Source organism: Homo sapiens, chromosome 20 (genome assembly GCF_000001405.40).
Source record: "Homo sapiens chromosome 20, GRCh38.p14 Primary Assembly".
In the NCBI taxonomy this organism is placed as follows: domain Eukaryota; kingdom Metazoa; phylum Chordata; class Mammalia; order Primates; family Hominidae; genus Homo; species Homo sapiens.
The window spans coordinates 23,052,610-23,075,163 of NC_000020.11; the positions used below are offsets into that span (position 1 = coordinate 23,052,610).

General features: G+C 41.8%; 1 long non-coding RNA gene across 1 annotated transcript, besides 1 other annotated feature; it reads right to left on the reverse strand.

Annotated features, from left to right (window-relative positions):
- Positions 9,623 to 9,917: a silencer, noted in NCBI's record as "tiled region #8459; HepG2 Repressive non-DNase unmatched - State 20:ReprD, and K562 Repressive DNase unmatched - State 7:EnhWF". NCBI's record gives its function as "represses a minimal TATA promoter and a strong SV40 promoter by Sharpr-MPRA in HepG2 and K562 cells {active_cell/tissue: HepG2 | K562}" and the evidence as "EXISTENCE:reporter gene assay evidence [ECO:0000049][PMID:27701403]".
- LOC124904964 (uncharacterized) lies at positions 12,530 to 16,921 on the reverse strand. Its single transcript, XR_007067745.1, has 2 exons — positions 16,627 to 16,921; positions 12,530 to 12,920 (listed from the first exon to the last, which is right to left on the reverse strand). It is a non-coding gene; the product is annotated as an uncharacterized LOC124904964 (long non-coding RNA).
- Between the last annotated feature and the right edge of the window lie 5,633 nt (positions 16,922 to 22,554).

Here is a 22,554-nt window from a genome sequence, read left to right on the forward strand (position 1 = left end):
AAGCCTTGGTGCCATTTGCACTTGTGACCCTTCACCATTCTCAAGGCTCCTCCTCCAATTACTTTTGAGACACATGTTTTCCTCCCTTCCTCTCCTGTGAGCCTTGGGGAGGCCCCTGGGATCCTCTTGTACCACCCACTAGAGTGGCCATTCTCAAGGTTTTGCTGGTGGTCTTCATCATCTCTTTACAACCCACCTTTTGGTGAACTTACCCATTCCCCTGGCAGTGATAGCAGTGTCCAAGGAGATTGGGGAGGGAGTATTCTAGAAGGGACCCTTACCCCATCTTTCCCAGTATCAATAGTTGGTCCACTGAGGTTTTAAACCATGCACTTGCCTTTGACTTTCTGCTCTCCTTCATCCACTGCCTAGTTTTTGTGTCTTGTTTCCCCTGATCACTGCTCCTGCCTTCTCAATTTATGCTGAGACAGTTGGGTCCCCAGCTCTTTTCCTTGCTGCTTATCTCTCCAGCTCTCCACCGTGGCTGAGGCTACTCTGATCCTCATACTCCCTCAGTGCTGCTCCCACCCGCTGGGAGAGCCCATACTCTTTCCCCTCCGCACTGAAGATGCTCGCGATAGTGCCTCTACTCTGTGGCCACAGATGAGAAAATTTGCACTCAAGGGGCTATGCTGGAATTTGGACCCAGAGCCTGCACCCCTTGCACCTCACAAGGCTTCAAGGACCAGTGTTCTGCTGGTCTCCATGAATGAGGAAACATCCTGGCAAGGGAGGCTCCTGCTCACTGTCAGAGAAGCACCTTGTCCGCTCATCTCCACCCTGTAGTTCATGTCTCTCCCTCTGCTAGCAACATTCTCGTCTGCCAGGCTCTTCACCCACTGAAATCTTTCCATTCTTTCAAGTCCCAGTTCAAGCTTCCCCATCAGCAAGTTTTCTGAATAACCCAACCAGAACTGATCTGTCTGTGATTCCCATAGACAGGTCGTTCTCTCAGCTCTTTAGTACTCACCACTCCCTCCCTGCCCTGTACCTAATCATGCATATACCACACTTTTTGCTGCACTTATACTCCAGATTCCCACACATTTTTGTATCCCCTTACACCTAACAGCACGCTTTGTAACTAGACAGTGCCCAGAGCTTATTGGAGCACCTGTGGTAGATGTTTCTTTGTCCTCTCCAGGGTGATTTTCTCACATTCACCTGCAAAGACAAGGATGGGGGACCTCAGAGCCTCAGGGTGAATTAAGAGTGTGGACTTTGGAGCCGACTTGGCTGCACTGGAGACCCAGCTCCGGCATTCACAAGTTTTTGTTTATTGTTAAGATTTGACTAATAACCCCTCCCCGTGTAGCTCAGTTTCCTTGACTGTGTAATGGGAATAGTCCCTCCTTCAAAGTGTTAGGATGAAGATTAAATGGGTTATACATGTAAAGCATTTAGAACAGAGGAGCCGTAGTCAGCTCTCAATAAATTTTAGCAAAAAAGAAAACACTCAAGTCCCTAGAATTTGGATTCGGCATCTGATTGTATTCAATATCCAGCATGGTTTCTTTTCCATGGTAGGGACTCACCAAATGTCTGTTGGATTTAATTTGTTCCAGCCAAGCATTTCTACCACTAATAACAATAAGCAATTGTGAAAAAAAATCAGGGATGGAGGCATAGGGAAGAAATTGAAGCATGTCCTGTCTTAGGCTTCCCATCTGCCCTAGAGACATCCATAGTGACTGTCCCCATTGCCCAGGTGTGGAAGCTGAAGGCCAGAGAGAATCAGTGACTCTCCAATGTCACACAGCTAGTAAGTGGTGAAACAAAGATTCACCGGCCTGTGGTAAGGATGAAAGAATTACAATGTGGAGTATGTCTGAGCCCCCATTTTGCCACATACTGGCCTACTTGGCTAAGTTATTTCAATCTCTGGTGTTCTTTCCCAAAAACTGGAGATATAATATCTAATATGTAGGATTAGTGTAAAATAAAACTCTTTCCCAAAAACTGGAGATATAATATCTAATATGTAGGATTAGTGTAAAATAAAACAGAAAATGTACATACAGTGACTATTACTTTTCTTGGAAGACAGCAGCTGTTTAACAAATATGGTTGTTATTACTGCTATATATAAAAAAAAAAGCTTTATCAAAGACCCCTGTGGTCACTGGTAGCCATCCAGGAAGTCTTGCTTTTTATTTATTTATTGACTGATTGATTGACTTTTGAGACAGAGTCTCAAAATCGGTAGCCCAGACTAGAGTGCAGCAGTGTTATCATGGCTCACTGCAGCCTTGACCTCCCAGATCAAGTGATCCGCCTATCTCAGCCTCCAGAGTAGCTGGGACTACAGGTATGTGCCATCACACCCAGCTGATTTTTTTCTTTTGTGTGTGTGTGCAGAAATGGGGTCTCACTATGTTGTCCAGGCTAGTCTGGAACTCCTGGGCTCAGACAATCCTCCACCTCAGCCTCCAAAAGTGCTGAGATCACATGCATGAGCCACTATGCCCAGCCAAGCCCAGCTTTTTAGATGGGAGTTTCTGCTTGATGTCTGTGGAGGAGGCTGGACCAACTACCTGGGCAGTGAACAGACTTCAGCCATTTTTATTGAAAGCAAACATGTGTGAATGTTGTTAGAACACAGATGAAAAGGAGTCCACAGACAGAAGGGGGCCCCAGTGGCATTGTGCTGACCCCATACATACCTTAGCCATATTTATAATACACTAACAATACTAAAATGCACACATAAAAATTAAGTCTCTATGGCTATGAGCAATATATAAATTCAAGGATGGAAAAATAACTGTCTGTTAAGCAAATGTTATCTAATAACTGCAGCACGTTAGAGCAAAACAAGTATTTTCCAAAATTTTGCCTCTTACTCAGGCTTTCTTAAAGAAACAGGGTAAAAGTGGACAATTGTTTGTTGGTCTATTCTTTAGAATAGACTTTATTGGTCTATTATTTGTAAAAGAAAATATGTCGCATATCCAAAAAACCATACCACTAATATCATACTCAATGGTGAAACACTGAAAGCCTCCTCCCTAAGGTCAGGAACAAAACAAAAATGTCTTCTCTTACCACTTCCATTTAACATTATGCTGGTGATTTCAGAGCAGTTAGTTATGAAAAGGAAATTTAAAAGTCCAGGCTGGAAAGGAACAAATAAAACTACATCTATTTGTGGATGATATTAACCTTTTTTGTATATGGAAAATCCTAAGGAAAACACTTTTTTAAAAAACTAAGAACTAATAAAGGAGTTCAGCAGTTGCAGGATATAAGATCAATACATAAAAAACAATTGTATTTCTGTATAACAATAAAAAAATGAAAATTATGAAAACAATTCCATTTATAATAGCATCAAAAAGAATAACATACTTGAGGATAAATTTAACAAAAGAAATGCAAAACATTTGCTCTTAAAACTACAAAACGTTGCTGAAAGAAACTTTAAAAGGCTTAAATAAATGGAAAGACACCCTACGTTCATGGATTGGAAGACTTAATATGATTAAGGTGGAAATATCCCCACAATTTATCTACAAATTAGATGCAATCTCTATCAAAATCTCCGCTTTTTTCTTTGCAGAAATTTACATATTGATCCTAGCATTCACATGGAAGTTCAAGGGATTCCAAAGAGCCAAAGAAATCTTGGAAAAGAAAAAAATATGAACACTTACTTCCTGATTTCAAAACTTACCGCAAAGCACCAGAACCAAAACAATATAGTGCTGGGATAAAGACAGACACGAATCAATGGAATAGAATTGAGAATCTAAAAATAACCCTCACATTTGTGGTCAATTGATTTCCACAAGGGTGCCAAGGCAATTGAAAGAATAGTCTCTTCCACAAATGATTCTGGAACAACTGCATATCTACATGTGGTAGGGTGGGACCTCTACCTCACATCAAATAAAAAATTAAAGAAAAATGGTCAAAACACTTAAATGTAAGATTAAAACTAGAAAATCCTTAGAAGAAAATATAGGTGTAAATCTTTGTGGCCTTCAATAAGGCACTGGTTTCTTAAATATGGTACAAAAAACACAAGCAATCCAAGAAAATGTAGATAAGTTAGACATTATCAAAATTTAAAACTTTTATGCTTCAAAAAAAAAAGGTGGAGACAAGCCACAGAATGGGAGAATGGTAGGAGACATTTACAAATTATGTACCTGATAAGGTCTCTCTAGAATATATAAGGAACTACAAGTCAATAATTAAAGACAACAAACCCAATTAAAATGTGGGCAAAAGATCTGGATAGATATTTCTCAAAAGAAGGTATATAAATGGCCAATATATCAGGACACCTGAGTGAGAAGACAGATCCTGTGCACATGGAAAGATGCTCAACATCATTAGCCATTAGGGGAATGAAAATTAAAACCACAATGAGATACCAATACACACCCACTAGGATGGCTACAATCAAAAGACAGAGAAGAATCCTCAGATAGTGCTGATGGAGATGTTTACTGGTGCAACCACTTTAGAAAGCAGTTTGGCAGTTCCCCAAAATGCTAAACAACAGTTACCATGTGATCTAGTAATTCTACTTCTAGGTATATACACTCAAGAAAAATTAAAACATATTTGCACACAAAAGTTTCTATACAAATGTTCGTAATAGGATTATTCTTTTTTTTTTTTTTGAGATGGAGTCTCGCTCTGTCACCAGGCTGGAGTGCAGTGGTGCTGCAATCTTGGCTTATTGCAACCTCTGCCTCCCAGGTTCAAGCAGTTCTCCTGCCTCAGCCTCCCAAGAGGCTGGGACTATAAGTACACGCCACCACACCCAGCTAATTTTTGTATTTTTAGTAGAGACGGGGTTTCACCATGTTGGCCAGGATGATCTCAATCTCTTGGCCTCATAATCTGCCCACCTTGGCCCCCCAAAGTGCTGGGATTACAGGTGTGAGCCACTGCGCCCAGCCCCAGTAGCATTATTCTTCACAGCCAAAGAGTAGAAAGAACCCAAATATCCATCAGCTGTTGAATGAATGAATGGAATGTGGCATGTCCTGTCCATATAATGAAATGCTATTTGGCAATAAAAAGACATGAAGTACTGATTCATGCACAATCTTGCAAACATTATGCTAAATGAAATAAGCCAGTCCCAAAAGTCCACATATTATATGATTCCATTTCCATGAAATGTCCAGAATTAACAAATCTAGAGAGACGAAGAGTCCATTAGTGGTTGCCTAGGGATTGAGAGTAAGGGGGAATTAGGAAAAGACTACTAATGATTGCAGGGTTTCTTTCTGGGGTGATTAAAATGTTCTAGAATTAATTTGCAAAACTCTATGCGTATGCCAAAAGCCATTGAATTATACATTTTAGATAGGTAAACTGTATGATGTGTGGATTATATCTCAGTATAGCTGTTTTTAAGAAGAAGAACATATGTTCCCCCAGTGAATGAAGCATGAGAGCTTAAGTGATGAACTGCCAGTGGACCTCTGAGCCTTTTCCTGCAGCCGGGGGCTTATTGTATGAGGAAGGATAGAATACCTATAGCTGTCTACCTTGACACAGAACTTTGGATCTATCATCTATTGGATTTCCATGGAGCCAAAGGAAGCTCGGGAATGCCCAGTGATCTATTCAGGGTCAGTCATCCAGGGTGGCCTACTTTGAGAGCAAAGAGAATTTTGTGTCTAGCAGATTCATGGGACACTACCTTGGTCTTCTCACTCAGGTGTCCTGATATATCCCCTCCTCTCAAGAGGTGTTTTCTGAGAAAAGTGGAGGACCACAGAAAATAGCAAGAGAGCCCCAGAGGCTGCCTGCTGGGCAATGTCTCTTTCTGAAACATGTATCTGGCTGGACCTGGTAATCTCTGCTCAGGCCAATAGGTGGTGAGCAAGAGATGAACAGGCATTTGGGCCATGGGTCCTCTGGCAGTTGGTTGAAGCCCACGGACCCCTTTCTAGAATAATATTTTAAATAAATGTATCAAATAAAACTCACAGAATTACAAAGGAATCCAGTCATATTGAAATGAAATATTAAAATCTCAAAAAGTAGCAAATATGTGATATCAAATATAAGTGCTTCTTTTGGGATATTTTAAAACACAAGTTCTCATGGTGCGCCACCTAAATGCCATAATTTCAAAGTGGTGATCAATGTAAACAATATTTTGAGAGATCTGTGACAACTGTAATGTGGTCTGTGTCTGTGATTTACAGCGATGACAGTCTCTGGTCCTGCTAACACTGCTCTCGGTATTTACCTTGCCTTTTCTTTTCTTTCCTTTTGGAAGGAAAGGATATGCTGTTTCAGGTGCAGATTAGTGAAAATATAGAAGTAATGTTTTCTCCATTCAAGCTGATGAGACCCCTGAATGAAGAACTATTCACTTAAAAGAACACAGAACTATTTCGGTCAGTTCAAGTAGAAGCCTCTAGAATGTTATTGTGTCAAGGTGCGTTTTGCCATGTTAGACTCTCCCTTTATTTTCTACAAAATATTTGTTCATAGCAGATTATATTTTTATTGAAAACAATGCATATTTGAAAGAAATGCTCTTACACTCAGAAACACTGTCCTTGGAAGACAAAGTCCTCACAAGGAAGCCAAGAAATCCACAAGTGTTGTTTGAGAAACGTCAACTGTGCTTCGGCTGTTGGCACACATCTCCTGTGGGATAAGTTCAGGCCTTAAATGTATGCAGGACAAGAGGCTTAAAAGTGAGCATGTGCAGAGAACAAAACCTATTTAGGCAGGAAAATAAGATAATTGGAACTATATATTTTAATGCTATTTTACAGAAGTATATTATAATATATTCTTTAAATGCATGAAATGTGAGAAATTGAACAATGAAAATATCTATCACTAATATAACTGCAAATATTTAGTGCTTGCCTTTAATTTTTTGTGAAAATTAGAGATCTGAACATTTTGTTAGCACAGTAAGTATATTTAATATACCTATTATCAAATTATAACTGATAGATCCAGTGGATGGAAAGCTATGGAAGTAAACACACCTAATATAGAAAGAAATACTACTTATGGTATAGGAGATATATATATATAATTGTTACAGTAGGTAGCTAGTCAGGCCTGAGCATGGCAGGAGAGGGCTCCTCCACCACCAGGAATGTCAGACAACCATCAGATGATGGTCAGGCAGTTGTTAACTGTCTTTCTAAAATAATTTGTTGCAGCCAGTGCCAGGGAAAGCAGTCTCCCTATCAATAGAAGAAACCTCAAACTGGGGATCAGCAGCTTCCAGATAAGATCTCAGGAGCTGGGTAAGTGGGCTCAAGCTTGTGCATTAAGATGCAAAATGACAGAGTTTAATTGGTATATGACCTTCTAGGGACATTTGACTGGCAAGGGAAGAATGCTTGAAGTGAGCATGTGTACAACTCCAGTAAACAAACTGTGCTGGTAGGCCACTGAGCATGTGGACAGCCCATCCCAAGGGAAGAATCAGGGGAGAAAGGATGCAAGACCCCAGAAGTATGCCAACACATAAAACCCCAAGTGAAAAAGTCAAACCACGCACTTGTATTTCAAGTTGGCCACTTGGCCCTCTTCCAAGTGTACTTTCCTTCCTTCTTCCCTGCTCTAAAGCTTTGTAATAAACTTTCAATCCCGCTCGAAAGCTTGCTAGTCTCTCCTTCTGCCTCTCAGCTGAATTCTTTCTTCTGAGGAGGCAAGAATGGAGGTTGCTGCAGACCCATATGGATTTGCTGCTGGTAACATCATTATCTCTGAGTTGAAGCAGCATGATTTTTACTTTCTTCTCTTTCTTATATTTTCTACATGCATTTATTTTATAAGTTAAAGGCTCCACTCCTTCATTAAAAAAAGGTAAAATTATTTTTTGATAATTGAAAATTAGTCAGTTCAAAGTAATGTGGCTGGTAATACACATCGCATTTTTGCAGTCTCTTGCAAAACAGAAGCTATTCTGACTCCCTTGTAGCTCACTAATTTTCAAGAATTTAATAAAAATCTGCTGCCTGAAAGAGCCGCTCCTGTCATCTTGAGAAGGCTGGGGTCTTTGCACCCCCTGAGTTCAGTGATTGCTTCCCCAAAAACACATTTCACAAGAGGATAGACTTTATCACATGGGTTCAGCCGGGCTGTGTCATAGAGACCCATCCCAACTCACCCCATGTTATTACCAGTGAACTACTGAGATGCTAAATCTTTGGCTTCTTGGTTTGAGTTGTGGAAGGACAGATAAACAAAAGTGCCTGCTAAGACCCAGATATCTGGAGGAATTCTGTGGATGCCCTAGAGCAAGGTTGACGTGCCGTGTCTGTCAAGGGCAAGAGAGTAAACATTTCAGCTGCAGGCCTTTCAGCCTCTGTCATAACCACTGAACTCTGCCTTTGTTGTGTGAAAGCAGCAAGCCTGGTGGAGCCCCACAAAATCGGTTATCTACTGCCAGTAGCAAACCTCCCCAAAACTTAGTGATGAGAGCAATGAATATTGAAACCCTGGTTATCTGACCAAGTCAGTATTGGACAAATTTGCACAGAGATCTTTTGGTGATTTGCAGAAGCTGGTGCAGGCAGACTTCTTATTTTCATCAATATCTAGCTCCATCAGGACTGAAAACTGCAGACTAGCTACTCTAGACTTCTGGTGGCTGAGAACAAGCCTGCAGGATGGCTTGACAGCTCTGGGTAAACTGTCTGAGAACATCTTCAGCTTGGGCAGAACAGCCTTCCAGGAATGAAGATGTCACAGAGAGCAGGGTGCTGGAGAGGGCTTTACTCTGAAGTAGGGGCGGCCAATATTTGATCCCATCATTCAGAAATCCCTCTTCTACCCACAGGCCTGGCAGTGACTGAGGCTCCATCTAGCTCTGGGAGAAGAGGAAGGGAGTGGCTTCCCACTGGGGGTGCCTCAGACCTCGCTTACCTCCACCCATAGCTGGTCCACCCACCATGGGTGCTCAAAAGTAGAAGGAAGGATGGGGAAACATTCAGTCCACGTCCAAATCATCGAGAAGACTTTTCAGATTGGGAATAATTCCGAAGCCAGATCCCAGCAAGGCACTGCCAAAAAATGGCTCTCTGGGGTTTATTTTCCTTTGGAAAGGACTTTTGGGACATACGGCAAGAGGGAGCTTTCTGGGTCCCTTAAAGGGCCCTGCAGGAAAGAAGGGCAGTGGGACGCATTGTCTGTTCTCCATAGACAATAGGGCAGACTGCTTCCTCCTTGGGACTGGTAGTTACGTTTATGTTTCTGACAACCAGCTGGCCACTGAAGAAGCGTGGAGCCAACAGCTGCAAGGGATAATTTTGGCAGCATCACCCACGGTGCAAATTTAAAACTCCAGCTGGTTCTACTGCAAGCAGAATAAACACAAACAGCTGATAATAAGTAAATTCAGAACTTGAAATATGCCAGAGACACTTTATAGCCCTCTGTTTTCTCCTAGTGTGCACTCTTTGTGCTCTCATCCTGTGGTCTTGAGCGTGAACATCATTTTCATATTTTATCTTGCTATCTAAAAGTTTTATTTATTTGGGAAATAAGTAGGCTCTGAATCTGGGGGGAAAATAGTTGTCAAGAACCAAATATTTGGCTTCCTGTTTCCCAGAAAGTGTTTGCTGCTGTTTCCATTTCTGGCCCAACATTTTTCCAGAGTTGAAAATGTCATTTAAATGAGTCAGTCCCCGGGGCTCAGAAGCAATGATAAAGATGTGGACATGGCCCCAGAACGTTGGAGCACTGCTGCCTCTGGTGGACTGAAGGGCAGCTGGCATTAAAAACAGGATGTTCCTGCTGTGATACAGGCAGAGGAAGAAGAAGGGTATGCAAACCAAGGCAGTCCCCTGCAGCCTTGCCCCTCAGTGTGTGGTCCCAGACCAGCAGCATCACTGCACCTGGTAGCTTGTTAGAAATGCACAACCTCTGACCCCACCCCGACCTCCTGCATCAGAATCTGCCTGTTGACAAGGTCTTGGGGAAAAGGGTATTGGGGAATTTGCTGCACACACACTCCGCTGGGCAACCCAACGGCCTCAATGAGACCAGCCTGCACAGGATTCTACCTGCCTTCCCCTACCTTCCACCACAGTTTCAATGATCCTCTTAGGAGTATGAAAAAGGAGTGGCCAAGATTGTCAGCATCAGCTTTTATCTTCTCTCTGTGAACACATATATCACTTACCAACTTGTCAGAAAGGCAGATTCCTGGGCCCTAATTCAAACTTCCTGAATCAGAAACTCTGGGGATTGGGCCCAGCCCTGTGGGTTTTAGCAAGCTCTCCAGGGCATTCTGATGCACAGGTTTGAGAAACAACTGGCTCATTGTATGTGAGGCATGAATGAAGTGGCCTCCCAGGCTCTGCTCACATCCTCACTACCCTCATCTCTTCCTCCTGGGCTTTCCACCTTGGGTCCTGGCTCTACCAACTCTTCCTTGGATCCTGAATCTACAGTTTCTACCTGCATGGGCACAAGTATCACAAACCTTATCCTGATGGGATAGTGGAACTCCACCTTCAAGCCAAGATAAATGTAATTTGTAAAATTTTTGCACAGACAGGAGGTGCAGAGGACATTGTTATCATGAAGCTGAAAGTCATGCAATAGGATGGAAAGGAGGAAGACTGAAGGAATCCAAGATGCTAAAAGTATTAAGAATTCATAGCCCAACCTCATACTGTTGGGCTATGAGTATGTCAACCTCATACTGTTTTCTGCAAAGAAACAGAGATAATAAGTGCTTTAGGTTTTGCAGGCCACTTGGTCTGTGCTGCTGTAACAGGAGACCAGCCGCAGACCATATATAAACGAATGGATGTGGCTGTGGTCCAATAAAACTTTGTTTACAGACTTTGAAATTTTCATAATTTTACATGCCATGAAATATTTTTCTTCTTTTGATTTTTTTCTGACCATTAAAAAAATGCAAAAAAGCCATTTTTAGCTCACGCACCATACAGAAACAGGCAGTGGGCCAGAGTGGGCCTGCAGGCCATAGTTTTCCAAACCCTGCCCTACAAACATTAATAAAGAAAAAAACTTAGAAGATGCAGGACTTGCTTATGAAAACTTCCTCTACTTCAAAAAAGATATATATAGAGAAGAAAAAAACCCAACCACTAAGAAGCATTGTATTCAAATGCAAGAGACAATGGTGGGAAAAGCCCTCTTTGTCTTGTTTCTGTCCATTGTGGATGTTTCTTGTCACTGTTGTGGAATTATGGTGAGTGAAAGAGAGGGCGTTAAGAAGGAAGAGAAGAGAAAGGAAAAGCAAAATACAGTGAGTATTTAGGAAGTTGTAGAAGGCAAAGTAAGGACTGAAATGACCACAAGCTTCATATTACAAGGAGAGAGAAAAATGTGGTTCTGTTCTTTCAGTTAAAGAGAAAAACGCTTCCACCTTACTCCCCAATAGAACCACAGATCTCAGAGTTGGCTTGGCTGAGACCAGGCCTATTGGATTCTTGGCTTCCGGTATCATGCAGCTTCTGGTAAGTCAATGTGTTTGACATTCCTCCACACTCTAGACTCCCCAGCTCCCAAGGAAGGAACACCACCTTTCATCTTCCAGGTCATTTCATTCTGCTATGAAGGTGTTTCCATCTCAAAAATTGGTAGTTCATATAAAGCGGGCAAATGGGCGCCATAGTCACCACCTTACAGACACTGCACTCATTTACACACCATTTTGCATACATTTGTTCTGACTGCTCTTCAGTGAGAACTTCATTACTTTTATATTACAGAATTGTTATACTTTTAAAAAACTTTAAATATCGGTCATTTGTAGTGAGCAGCTTAGTATTTTCCGTGATGGAGTGTAATAGTTTTCCATTGCTGCTGTGGTTAAAAACAACACAAACGTATCATCTTAGAGCTCTGGAGGTAAGAAGTCCAAAATTGGGGCACCATCAGGGCTGCTCTCCTTCTGGAGAATATAGGGGAGGATCCTTTCCTTATCTGTTCCAGAGATCACCTTTATTTCTTGACCTGAGGCTCCTAGCTCCATCTTCAAAGCCAAGAGCATACACAGCATCTTCTCACCTCTCTCTCTGACCTCTGCTTCTGTGTCACATCTCTAACCCTTCTGCCTTGATATTCCATCTTTTAAGGACCCTGTGATTGCATTGGGCCAACCAGGCTGAGTCATAGAGGCAAAAGCCAATAAAGGATTAATAACAAAACCAAAGGGAAAAAAATCCTTTGACAGAATTGCCCTAGCATGTCTGGTTTAGCACGTGAGCAAATACAGCATTTGGGCTGCGTCTTATGAAATCTTAATGGCTTGTGAATGAAATGAGTTAAAACTATCAACCATCTCTCGCTGAACTGAGCTTAGTGTTCCCACTTAAGAAATTCATTTCTGAATTTTATTAAATTTTTAAAATCTCACTAAAACTATAGTCCTGTCTGCTGATTTCTAGGGTAGATGGCCCTGATGATGTAATAAATCCTCTTCATCAAGAATGTCTTGGTCATTTGTATTTCTGGCACTGTAGTCCTCACAGTAGAGCATCGGTCCTTTGTCATCTAAACAAAACTCACTTGGATTTAGCAGCAAGAACTTTAAGGACTCTGATTGTCGGGGCTGTGATCCTAAGCTTGAAAGGATCAGTTTATTAGCAATATCTCACACTCTTTTTTTTTTTTTCATGTTGAGCAGTAGAATATAAGAGATGATAATGAGGAAATGGAAATTAAAGACGTGTGCGTGTGCCACTCCCTGCAGATTCGGTTTATACCATGGCTCCAGGAGTCACAGAGCGTTGGACACAGCAGGATGGGTGGTCTGATCCCAGCTATTTGCAGCCCACACAGTGATCAGGGGATTCTTTATTGGTCACTTTTTTTTCTTTCTCTCTACCAATTAATGTTCCTTGTTCTTGATCCACCCCTTTGAGCCAAACAACCATTGAAAAGATGGAAACATCATTTTCCATGAAAGTACACATCTTGAACCCTGTTATAACCTGAAACAGAAAATGTAAAAAGCTGCTGTCAGTTCCTCCTTCAGTTTCAGAGTGCACACAAAGCCCTACTGTCAAACTTAAACAATGTTTATAGTGAAAAGAAATGATTAGAAGCAGGAAGGCACCACAGGGAGTAACAATCCTTCATGTTTGGAGGGATTTTATTTGCTTTAGCAATCTGATGGAAGGAAAAGAAAATTCCCATTATCAGGAACATCGCCCATCGGAGTGCCTAGTAATAAAAGTGTCAGCACCAATAATGTTATTAAAAGAAAACACTTTCTAGGTTCTGCCACCTACGTGTTGTATCCCTTTAAAAGGAAGCACAGTGGATAGCACAGTGCCTGTAGAGGCTGAGCTGGACGTGGATTTGTTTGCCTTGAAGCTTTGTATCAACAGTATGGGCACCTCAGCTCTGAATTTTCTGATAAAATGAGGTGTGCACGTAGAGTTCATGGCAATAGTGACCTTCAGACTCATTCTTCTTCAGATCCTTCTTTTTAGCTAGATCTACAATGGCATTCCTTTTCCCAGGAATGCGATTCCCAGGCTGGCCAAACTCATGTTGCCATGTATTACCCCCCAAGGCAAATAGCAAAGTTTCCTTTGAAGACAATAAATACATAGTCCATGGGCTGGACAACTGGAGGTGTTTTGGAAAGTTCTTTTTATTTTCAGCAAGATATGGAGACTCACTTTCCTTGGATGAGTATAAAACATGAAAGCAGTTATTCTGTAGATGTCTAATGGAAAGCTCTAGAATCTCTACCACATTTCTTGGTGCCAGCATTTGCATTTTTTGGCTATTTATTGGAACTTGGTTGCATGTCATTTTTTGTTCATCCATGCCATTTTCTGACTATTTACTTTGTGCTAGGTGCCATATTAAGGACATTAAGCACATTACATGGAATCCTCACAACAAATTATTTTTATTATCCCTATTTTACTGAAGATGAAATTAATTTAGGAACAGTAGCCTGGCCAAGGTCATGGGGCAGCAGTGAAGCCAGAATTCAACTGCAGGGCTGTGTAACTCTGACATCCAGCATGTAACCACATCTCAATCCCTGAAATGATTTAAGCAAAAGGAAGCAAATGAGAAGAAATGTGTGCTCTTTATAGTTTTATGCATCATGTGTGGGTTTGCCTCTGAGATGTGTCAAGGCCCTGTTGAAACAGTCTTGTGAGATGTTGCTTCCGAAAGACGTAGAAGCACAGCTGTGTGTTGATAATAGTCCCAAACTGGTAACACTTGGGTGTTCATCAGCAGGTAAATTGATACACAATTGTTAGTGAAGCTGCTCAGGGGAATTCTAGGAGCAATTAAGAGTGAACGCACATCCTATGATGTGCAAATCTCAAAAACATTGCACAGCATAAAAGCAGCTTTACATAAAACAGTATATTCTGTCTGATTTGAATTATATGACGTCATTAAACAGGCTAAATAATCCATGATGGGGGGAAATCAGAACAGTGGTTGCCTCTAGCTGGGGAGAAGGTAAAATTGAGAAGGGGGATGGGGAAACTTCCTAGGGTGATGGTCCGGGTCCTTATCTTGACAGGGTGTTGATTACACAGATGTCTGCATTTGTCAAAACTCATGGAATGACACACTTAAAATTTGTACATTTAATTGTGTGTAAATCTTATCTCAAAAGAAAAACATAACAAATATCGGCCTCTAGTTAATGACATGGGTTGACATGTTTAGAGGGATGTGTACTGATGCCTACAACTTACTCAAATGCATCACAAATAAGCTGTATTGATGGCTGGGTGGATGGAAAGTTGTGACAGAAGTCAAGTGACATATTAAAAGTGTAGAATCTAGATGGTGTTCGAATCTAAGCGGTAGAATTCTACCTAGGTAGAATCCACACAGCTGTTCACCGTTTGTAAATTTTTCTAGCAAAATATTAGGAAAAAGACTTTGCTTATGGAGTCCAGGCTCTTTTCTCTGTGAAGCTGCATTTCCCCAAATGTCGGGGAGACCCACCTGCCCTGTTAAGGACCAGCGGTGATCTCAATCTGACACTGCCACAGTGAATGCCACAGGTGTTCTGTGCCAGTCAGTGATTCACCCTTGTCACAGTTGGGGAATAGTGAAAGGAAGCCTTGAGGGGAGCAGTGGAGGTGGCCACGGCCCACCTGCCCAGCAGACTGATGCCCACCACTATCCTCTCTGGAGACAAGTTTGGAATAAGAGCATGATTCTGAGGAGTCAGACAGACTTCAGTTTCATTCCTGGTTCTGACAGCTGCTTGCTTTGTGACCTTAAGCAATTTGTTGAAATACATCTGAGCTTCTATTTATCCATCTGTGAAATGGGCACAACGCATAGTGGCTGGCACAGGATGGAGGACGGTCCTTAGCACAATGCTAGGCCCACAGAATATGCTCAAGCACATTTCCTAGAAACTGAAGGGCCTGTACAGGCCAAAAGGCCTGTAGCCCAAAAGCAGGGTTTGACTGTGGCCATCTCTAAGAAAGAAATGTAGTCAGATGATTCAAAGGAAAATGGGTAAAAGAAAAAAACCAAAGCTGCAAGTTTAAAAAGTCAATGCTCAGGAATGATGAGAGGAAAGTGGTCTTGGAACACACAGGGGTGACCACTCCTTCATGATGTGTGTGTGTTTTGATAGAGGTCGGTATAATTAGAGATATTCATGATCCCCAAAGGCCTCCTTATGGGGTAGGGGCTTAAAGACATTTTCCCTACTCTTGGCCCTTCCCCACTCACCCTCCCTCTGACCCCAGGGCCCATAAAGCTACTGGAGCCTTGTGTTTGGGGCTCAGTCAATAGTGAAAGGACCCCAACAACCTGACCCTGTATTGGTGCACTACAGTTCCATGGGCAAAGAGAAACAAGAGGGGTCAGCATTTTCTCTGGTTGAGACTATTGCTTGTACCATCGCAATAAGTGATTAAAGGCTTTACCAGTACTTTCATTTTGGCTCATTGTTGCTTTAATTGGCTACTCCAACACCTGACAGCTCAGCTCTCTCTCTCTCCTGCTCAGCTGAACTCCTGATACTCAACAGAGGAATTAAGATGCAATAGTAAAATATACATAAAATTTAAGACAGCTATTCTGCAGAAGACTCTCCAGAGACAATGAAAAGACCAGCCACAGACTGGAAGAAAATATTTGTGAAATATATACAGTCTCAGATGGGGATACCATCTGAGAAATACATCGTTAGGCAATGTCATTGTGTGAACATCATAGAGTACTTACACAAGCATGGATGGCATAGCCTACTACACACCTAGGCTATGTGGTATGGCCTATTGCTCCTAAGTTACGAACCTGTACAGCATGTTACTCTACTGATCAGTAGAGGCAATTGTAACACAATGGTAAGTATTCATATGTCTTAACATCTGAACATAGAAAAAGTATAGTAAAAATACAGTATTATAATCTTATGGGATCATCTTCATATACATGGTTTGTCATTGATTGAAATGTCATTATGCAGTGCATGACTTTATCTGATGAAGGGCTAATATCCAAAATATACAAAGAAACCCTAAAACTCAACAATAAAAAAAACCCATATAAAAATGGGCCAAGGATTTAAATGAACACCTCTCCAAAAAAGAGGCACAGGTGGCAAAGAAGTATTGAAGAGATGCTCAATAGCACATGTAATTAGGGAATTGCAAATTAAAACAGCAATGAGATATCACTACATACCTAATAGAATGGCTAAAATCCAGAACACTGACAATTCCAAATGTTGGCAAGGTTGTAGAGCAGCAGGAACTCATTCATTGCTGGTGGGAATGCAAAATGATAAACGCTTTGGAAGATGGTCTGGCAGTTTCCTACAAATCTAAACATACTCTTACCATCCAGAAATTGCACTCTTAGGTATTTACTCAAATGAGTAGAAAAATTATATCCATAAAAACATCTGCACATGAATATTTATAGCAGCTTTACTCATAATTGCCGAATTTTGGAAGCAACCAAGATGTCCTTTGCTAGGTGAATGGATAAATAAACAGTGCTCTATTCAGACAATGCAATATTATTCAGCACAAAAAAGAAATGAGCTATCAAACCATGAAAATGTTTAGAAGAAACCTAAATGCATATTATTAAGTGAAAGAAGCCAATCTGAAAAGGCTACATATTCTATGATTCCAACTATATGACACTCTAGAAAAGGTAAAACTATGGAGACAGTGAAAAGATCATGGTTTCCAGGAGTTGGGAGGGAAGAAGAGGCAGAGCACAGAGGATTTTTAGGGCAGAGAAACGATTCTGCATGACACTGTGACAGTGGAACACATCATTAGTCATTACATGTTTGTCAAAATCCATGAAATGTACAACAGTAAGAATAAACCCTAATGTAAACTTTGGGCTTTAGTTAATAATAATATGTCAATATTAGCTCATCAAGTTTAACAAATGTACCGCACCAACATGAGGGAAACCAAATTATTTCTCCCAAAATATTGAGGGTTGTTCAGCTAAAAATGCCACAAGCACAGGGAAGCACTTGGCCTCGGCCGCTGTTTGGCTGACGGCAGCACACAAGCCCTTCCTTACTGAAGACAGCACTCGCTTCCCAGCCCAGAGAGGGCATCAGCAGGCACAAGAGACATCTGGAAGGGGGCTCTACTATCTTCCCAGATCTTCCTGCCTTTTAAAAGACAAGAACTGCTCTCCTCTTTGTTTTGTCACTACATAGGATTTATGGCTCTTTGCTGAAATACTATTTAACCAAGGACCCCTAAGCCATTGCCTTCAGAAATACTTTTGGACTGGCCGGGCACGGTGGCTCGCGCCTGTAATCCCAGCACTTTGGGAGGCAGAGGCGGGCTGATCACGAGGTCAGGAGATCGAGACCATCCTGGCTAACACAATGAAACCCCGTCTCTATTAAAAACACAGAAAATTAGCCGGGCGTGGTGGCGGGTGCCTGTAGTCCCAGCTACTCGGGAGGCTGACGCAGGAGAATGGCGTGAACCCAGGAGGCAGAGGTTGCAGTGAGCCAAGACTGCGCCACTGCACTCCAGCCTGGGCGACAGAGCGAGACTCCGTCTCAAAAAAAAAAAAAGAAAGAAAGAAATACTTTTGGACTAAGGCTTCCCCTGTGTGATGGGTACTACATAAATTAATAAACTTCTGCTTGTTTTTCTTATGTTAATTTGACATCTGTTTTCAGGAGAGTTTCTCACCTAATAACGTAAAAAGGAAAAGAAAGGAAATTATGTTTTCTCTCCCACAACTGCAAGTTGTTGAAACATCTTGCGGGATGGGATTGGAGGAGGCATATATGGGAATTTTCTGTACTTTCTACCTAATTCATCTGTAGACCTAACGTTTCTCAAAAATGAAATTATAATAATTTAAAAAGGATACTTGAATAACCCCAAAGAAAACAGGAAAAGAGAACTGAAAGGAAGGGAAGGAGGAGGAGGTGGAGGAGGAAGGTAGGAAAGGTAGAAAAAGAACCGAATAACAGGCCTAACCCCAATAAATGCTGATTCTATCTACGAATACTTCTAAAACAGGCCAAACAAATCTGTGGTGATAGACAGCAGAACAGTGTTTGTCTATGGGGTGGAACTTGATTGCAAGGAGCATAGGAAACTTACTAGGGGTGATGGATAGTTACACATCTTGACCAAAGTGATGGTTACAATGGTATATACATTTATCAAAATGCATTAAATTGTACAGTTGGGATTCGTACCTTTCTCTGCATATAAATCTTACTTCAACTTTTTAAAAAGGATTAAAAATGCTTCCTTGGTGAGCGGGACTTCTGTGTGAGGCCTGTAGGCACAGCAGCCATGCTGTAGGCACGAGGATGCAAGCCACATGCTCGCTGGTGCGGAGGACCAAAAGAAGAAATGCAGCCGAAAGCAGCTGCAGCAGCCCTGGCTTTCCCACCTCTGAATTTCTTGTCATGAGAGAAAAATAAGCATTATGTTAACCAGGCTTTAATATGCACAGGCAAATTTACTGCTAAATATTATAAGTTTATTAACATATTTAGATATAAGCAGGACCAGAATAACATACCTAGAACAGATACTGATTTTCTTGCATTCATGTAATAATCATTTAAAATTCATATCTGCTTTACGCGAATAGATATAAACATAGAGCTAAGTGCTCCTACAAGATGAATTTTTAGTAGGCTAAACAGCACAGCTAAAGTCTCTTATGAACCTCATTTCCCCAACATATCTTTCATCTCTCTCTCTTTTTGGTTTGTTTCTTGTTTGTTAAGCTAATGGGTGTATTAATTCCATCCCAATGTGACTCCAAATTTTGAAATTATAAGGCCCAAATGAATTATTTTTTCTTTGCTCAAATAGGATACATACCTCATCTGAAGACAATTCAACATATAACAAAAGTTAATGAACGGCATTTCACTGCAGTCACAAACCCATTAAGCATCAAATCCAGGCGCTGTGAACATCAAAGAAGTCAAACTGGGCAACTGGTCTCTCCTGTGCAATGGGAAAACCTCCTAATGAAGGGCCATGACTTTATTGTTGACACCGATTCCACTTCAAACTTGGCGTCTGCAATCTCTGCCAGAAGATTTTCCGAGGTTGTTTTTAAGTCATAAAGTTAAATAACATGAAATGTTGTCTCCATAGTAAAAGATGCTTTCCTAAAACTGAAGGGCCTCTAGCCAAAAGACCTACAGCCAAAAAGCAGGGTTTGGCTGTGGCCATCTCTAAGAAAGAAATGTAGTCAGATGATTCAAAGGAAAATGGGTAAACAAAAAAAAACAAAGCTGCAAGTTTAAAAAGTCAATACTCAGGATTGATGAAAGGAAAGTGGCCTTGGAACACACAGAGGTGACCGCTCCTTCATGATGTGTGTGTGTTTTGATGGAGGCCAGTATAATTAGGGATATTCATGATCCCTGTGGTGCTTTGGTGGGAGGTGGAGGAGGACAGTCAGAGACAGATGTCTTCCCAGTCTCCAGTGCTGAGCAGAGGATTTGGTAAAGCAACCGGCAGTGGATAAAGTGTAGAAAGTACAAAACTAACTCCAGCCCACAATAGTCATTCACTTTTTGATACCACTGAAATGACGAAGTCAAAAGCAATCATGTTTCCCACTTCTAGAAAAATATTCAGGTCACAATTTGTAAATCTTTTGTTTAATTTATAACAATGATTAGCAGCATTTAAAAATCAACTTTATTGAGGTTTAATTTGCATACAATAAAATGTACCCATTTTCTGTGTGGTCTAAGGAGTTTTGACAAATGCAAACGCCCATGTAACCAACACCCAATCAAGACACAAGTATTTCCTTCATTCCACGAAGGTCCCTCAAGGTCTTTTGCTCCCAACCCTCACCCCCACTCTCACATAACCATTGAACTACCATCCATCACTGCGGATTAGTTTTACCTCTTCTAGAATGTCATAGAAATGGAATCAGGCAGTGTCCAGCTAATTTTGTTCCTTTGTGTCTGGCTTTCTTGCTCATTGTGTATTTCAGACGCCTGCTCCTTTTCCTTGATAAGGGATATCCCATTGTGTGCATGACCCACAGTCTTCACCCAGCTACCTAATGATGAATGTCTGGGTTCTTTCCAGATCGAAGCTGTATAAATAAACCTTGTGAATATCTATGGCCAAGACAATGTAGATCATGGCTTCATTCCCTTAAATAAATATCTAAGAGCAGAATTGTCAGGTTGTACGTTAAGTGTATGTTTAACTTTCTAAGAAAGAAACCATCTGTTTTTAAAGAAGTTATACCGTTTACATTTCTATTACCGTGTGCAAGAGTTCCAGTTGGGAAGTAGCCTCTGAGCAGGTCGGGACCATGGGGCGATTTGCACATTCCCACTTCCCTTCCTCTCCTACTGCATTCAAACACATTGCTCTCACCAAGGCAGACTGGGGATAGCCACGTGGGGGGACTGTGAGGGTGCGTTCCCTGGGATCTGCCCTCAGAGCAGGCAAGGCAGGTCTCAGGATGCACAATCTTTCTGATCAGAGGGCTTTTGAGTAGTTCTACCCCAGTGTGTGTGTGCGTGTGTGTGTGTGTGTGTGTGTGTGTGTGTTTGGGGGGTACATACACAAGCCCAAGTAAGTTTGTTTGAACATATTATTAAAAATACCCATATTGCTTAACACTCTGCTTTTCCTATCTGAAACTGGCTGAGAGGCCCACTCATCTCCCCACTCTTTGCTGGTTGACACTTTTTCAATTGCAGTTCCTATTCATGTCTAATGGGAGGCAGGGAAGCCTAGTGATTAAGAGTGAGAGTGTAAGATTTCATTCATCTAATTCACCACTCATCTTCTCTCTGCCTCAATTTCCTTAACTATAAAATGGAGATATTAATACTACCTATTTCTCAATAGCAAATACTATTTTCCCATTTGGTACATAGTAAAAGGTCAGTGATTTTTTTCCTCTTCATTGCTTTAATAACATATGTGGTATAAAATAACATATCCGGGGTCTTGTATTTAAAAAATCTTTTGAGGCTTGACTGTGAGCAAGGCACAATACAGATGTACCCGTTGCTCTTGAGTGCCTTACAGTCTCTCAGGAAGACACAAGTCATGTAGCCACTGACCTATCATGCAAGGAATAAAGTGATAAAAGCCAGCAGAAAACTCCTGAGAGAGAAATCCATCCCCATGGATACAGCTCCTCCTGGGGAAATGGAGGCATGACCTCTAGAGGCAGGGAGGACTGTCTGCACTGAGTTTAGAGGACAGCTGTGTGCTGGAGGCTGCCAGTGCTCAACAAATCGTGCTTGCACTTTTCACTGTGCTCAGGTGAAGTACACCTGCCAGGGCCTGCATCTGTACCTGAAGGTTTCCCCATCCTAAGTGTGGAAGGCCACTTTGCCCACATGTGTGGTCATCTGGAAGTGCTGGGAATTACCCGCCACCTCCACCCAGGGCAGCCCTCTACTCATTACCAATGGGTATCTACACACCACTCCCTTGGCTTTCAGATGTGATGACCCTGGCATGTTTTGCACCATTTCCCAGGATTTCTACAGTGATGTCACCACTTGATGCCATTACCACTGTTCCCTGTGCTTCCCAGTGAACCACAGGATGGTGAGTCCTTCTCTCAGGCTCTGTTTCTGGGAGCTGGAGTGCAAAGAGCCCCAGACCAGCTGGATATGGCGGCCACAATTCAGAGCAGCAATAGTGAAGACTTGAGTGCAGGCCGTGCCATGAGCTGGAGACAGGGGACAGGTGGCAGATGGTGGAGGAAGAGGCCCTGGACAGCATCGAGGCTCACACAGGCCCACCAGGAGGGTGTGCTAGCCCACCCTACCTGGTACACTGCTCCAACCCCCAGCTCAGTCATGCATTCCACATGTGTTTACTGAGCACCACAGTATGCCAGGCCCTGGTCTAGAGGCCTAGGGTATATCAGAAACCAAAAGACAAAAAAGTGCCCCTGTTGGCTCTTACATTCTAGTAAATAAATACAGATACTAAATAATCAATCATAGTGTACAAACAGAAATCATAAACCAGGGTGGAAGGTGATTGGTGTTTTGGAAAAACAGTAGAGCAGAGCAAGGATCGCTGGGAGTGCTGGAGAGAAGGCCCAGCCTTATAGCCCACTGGGAGAAGATAGGTACAAAGTGAG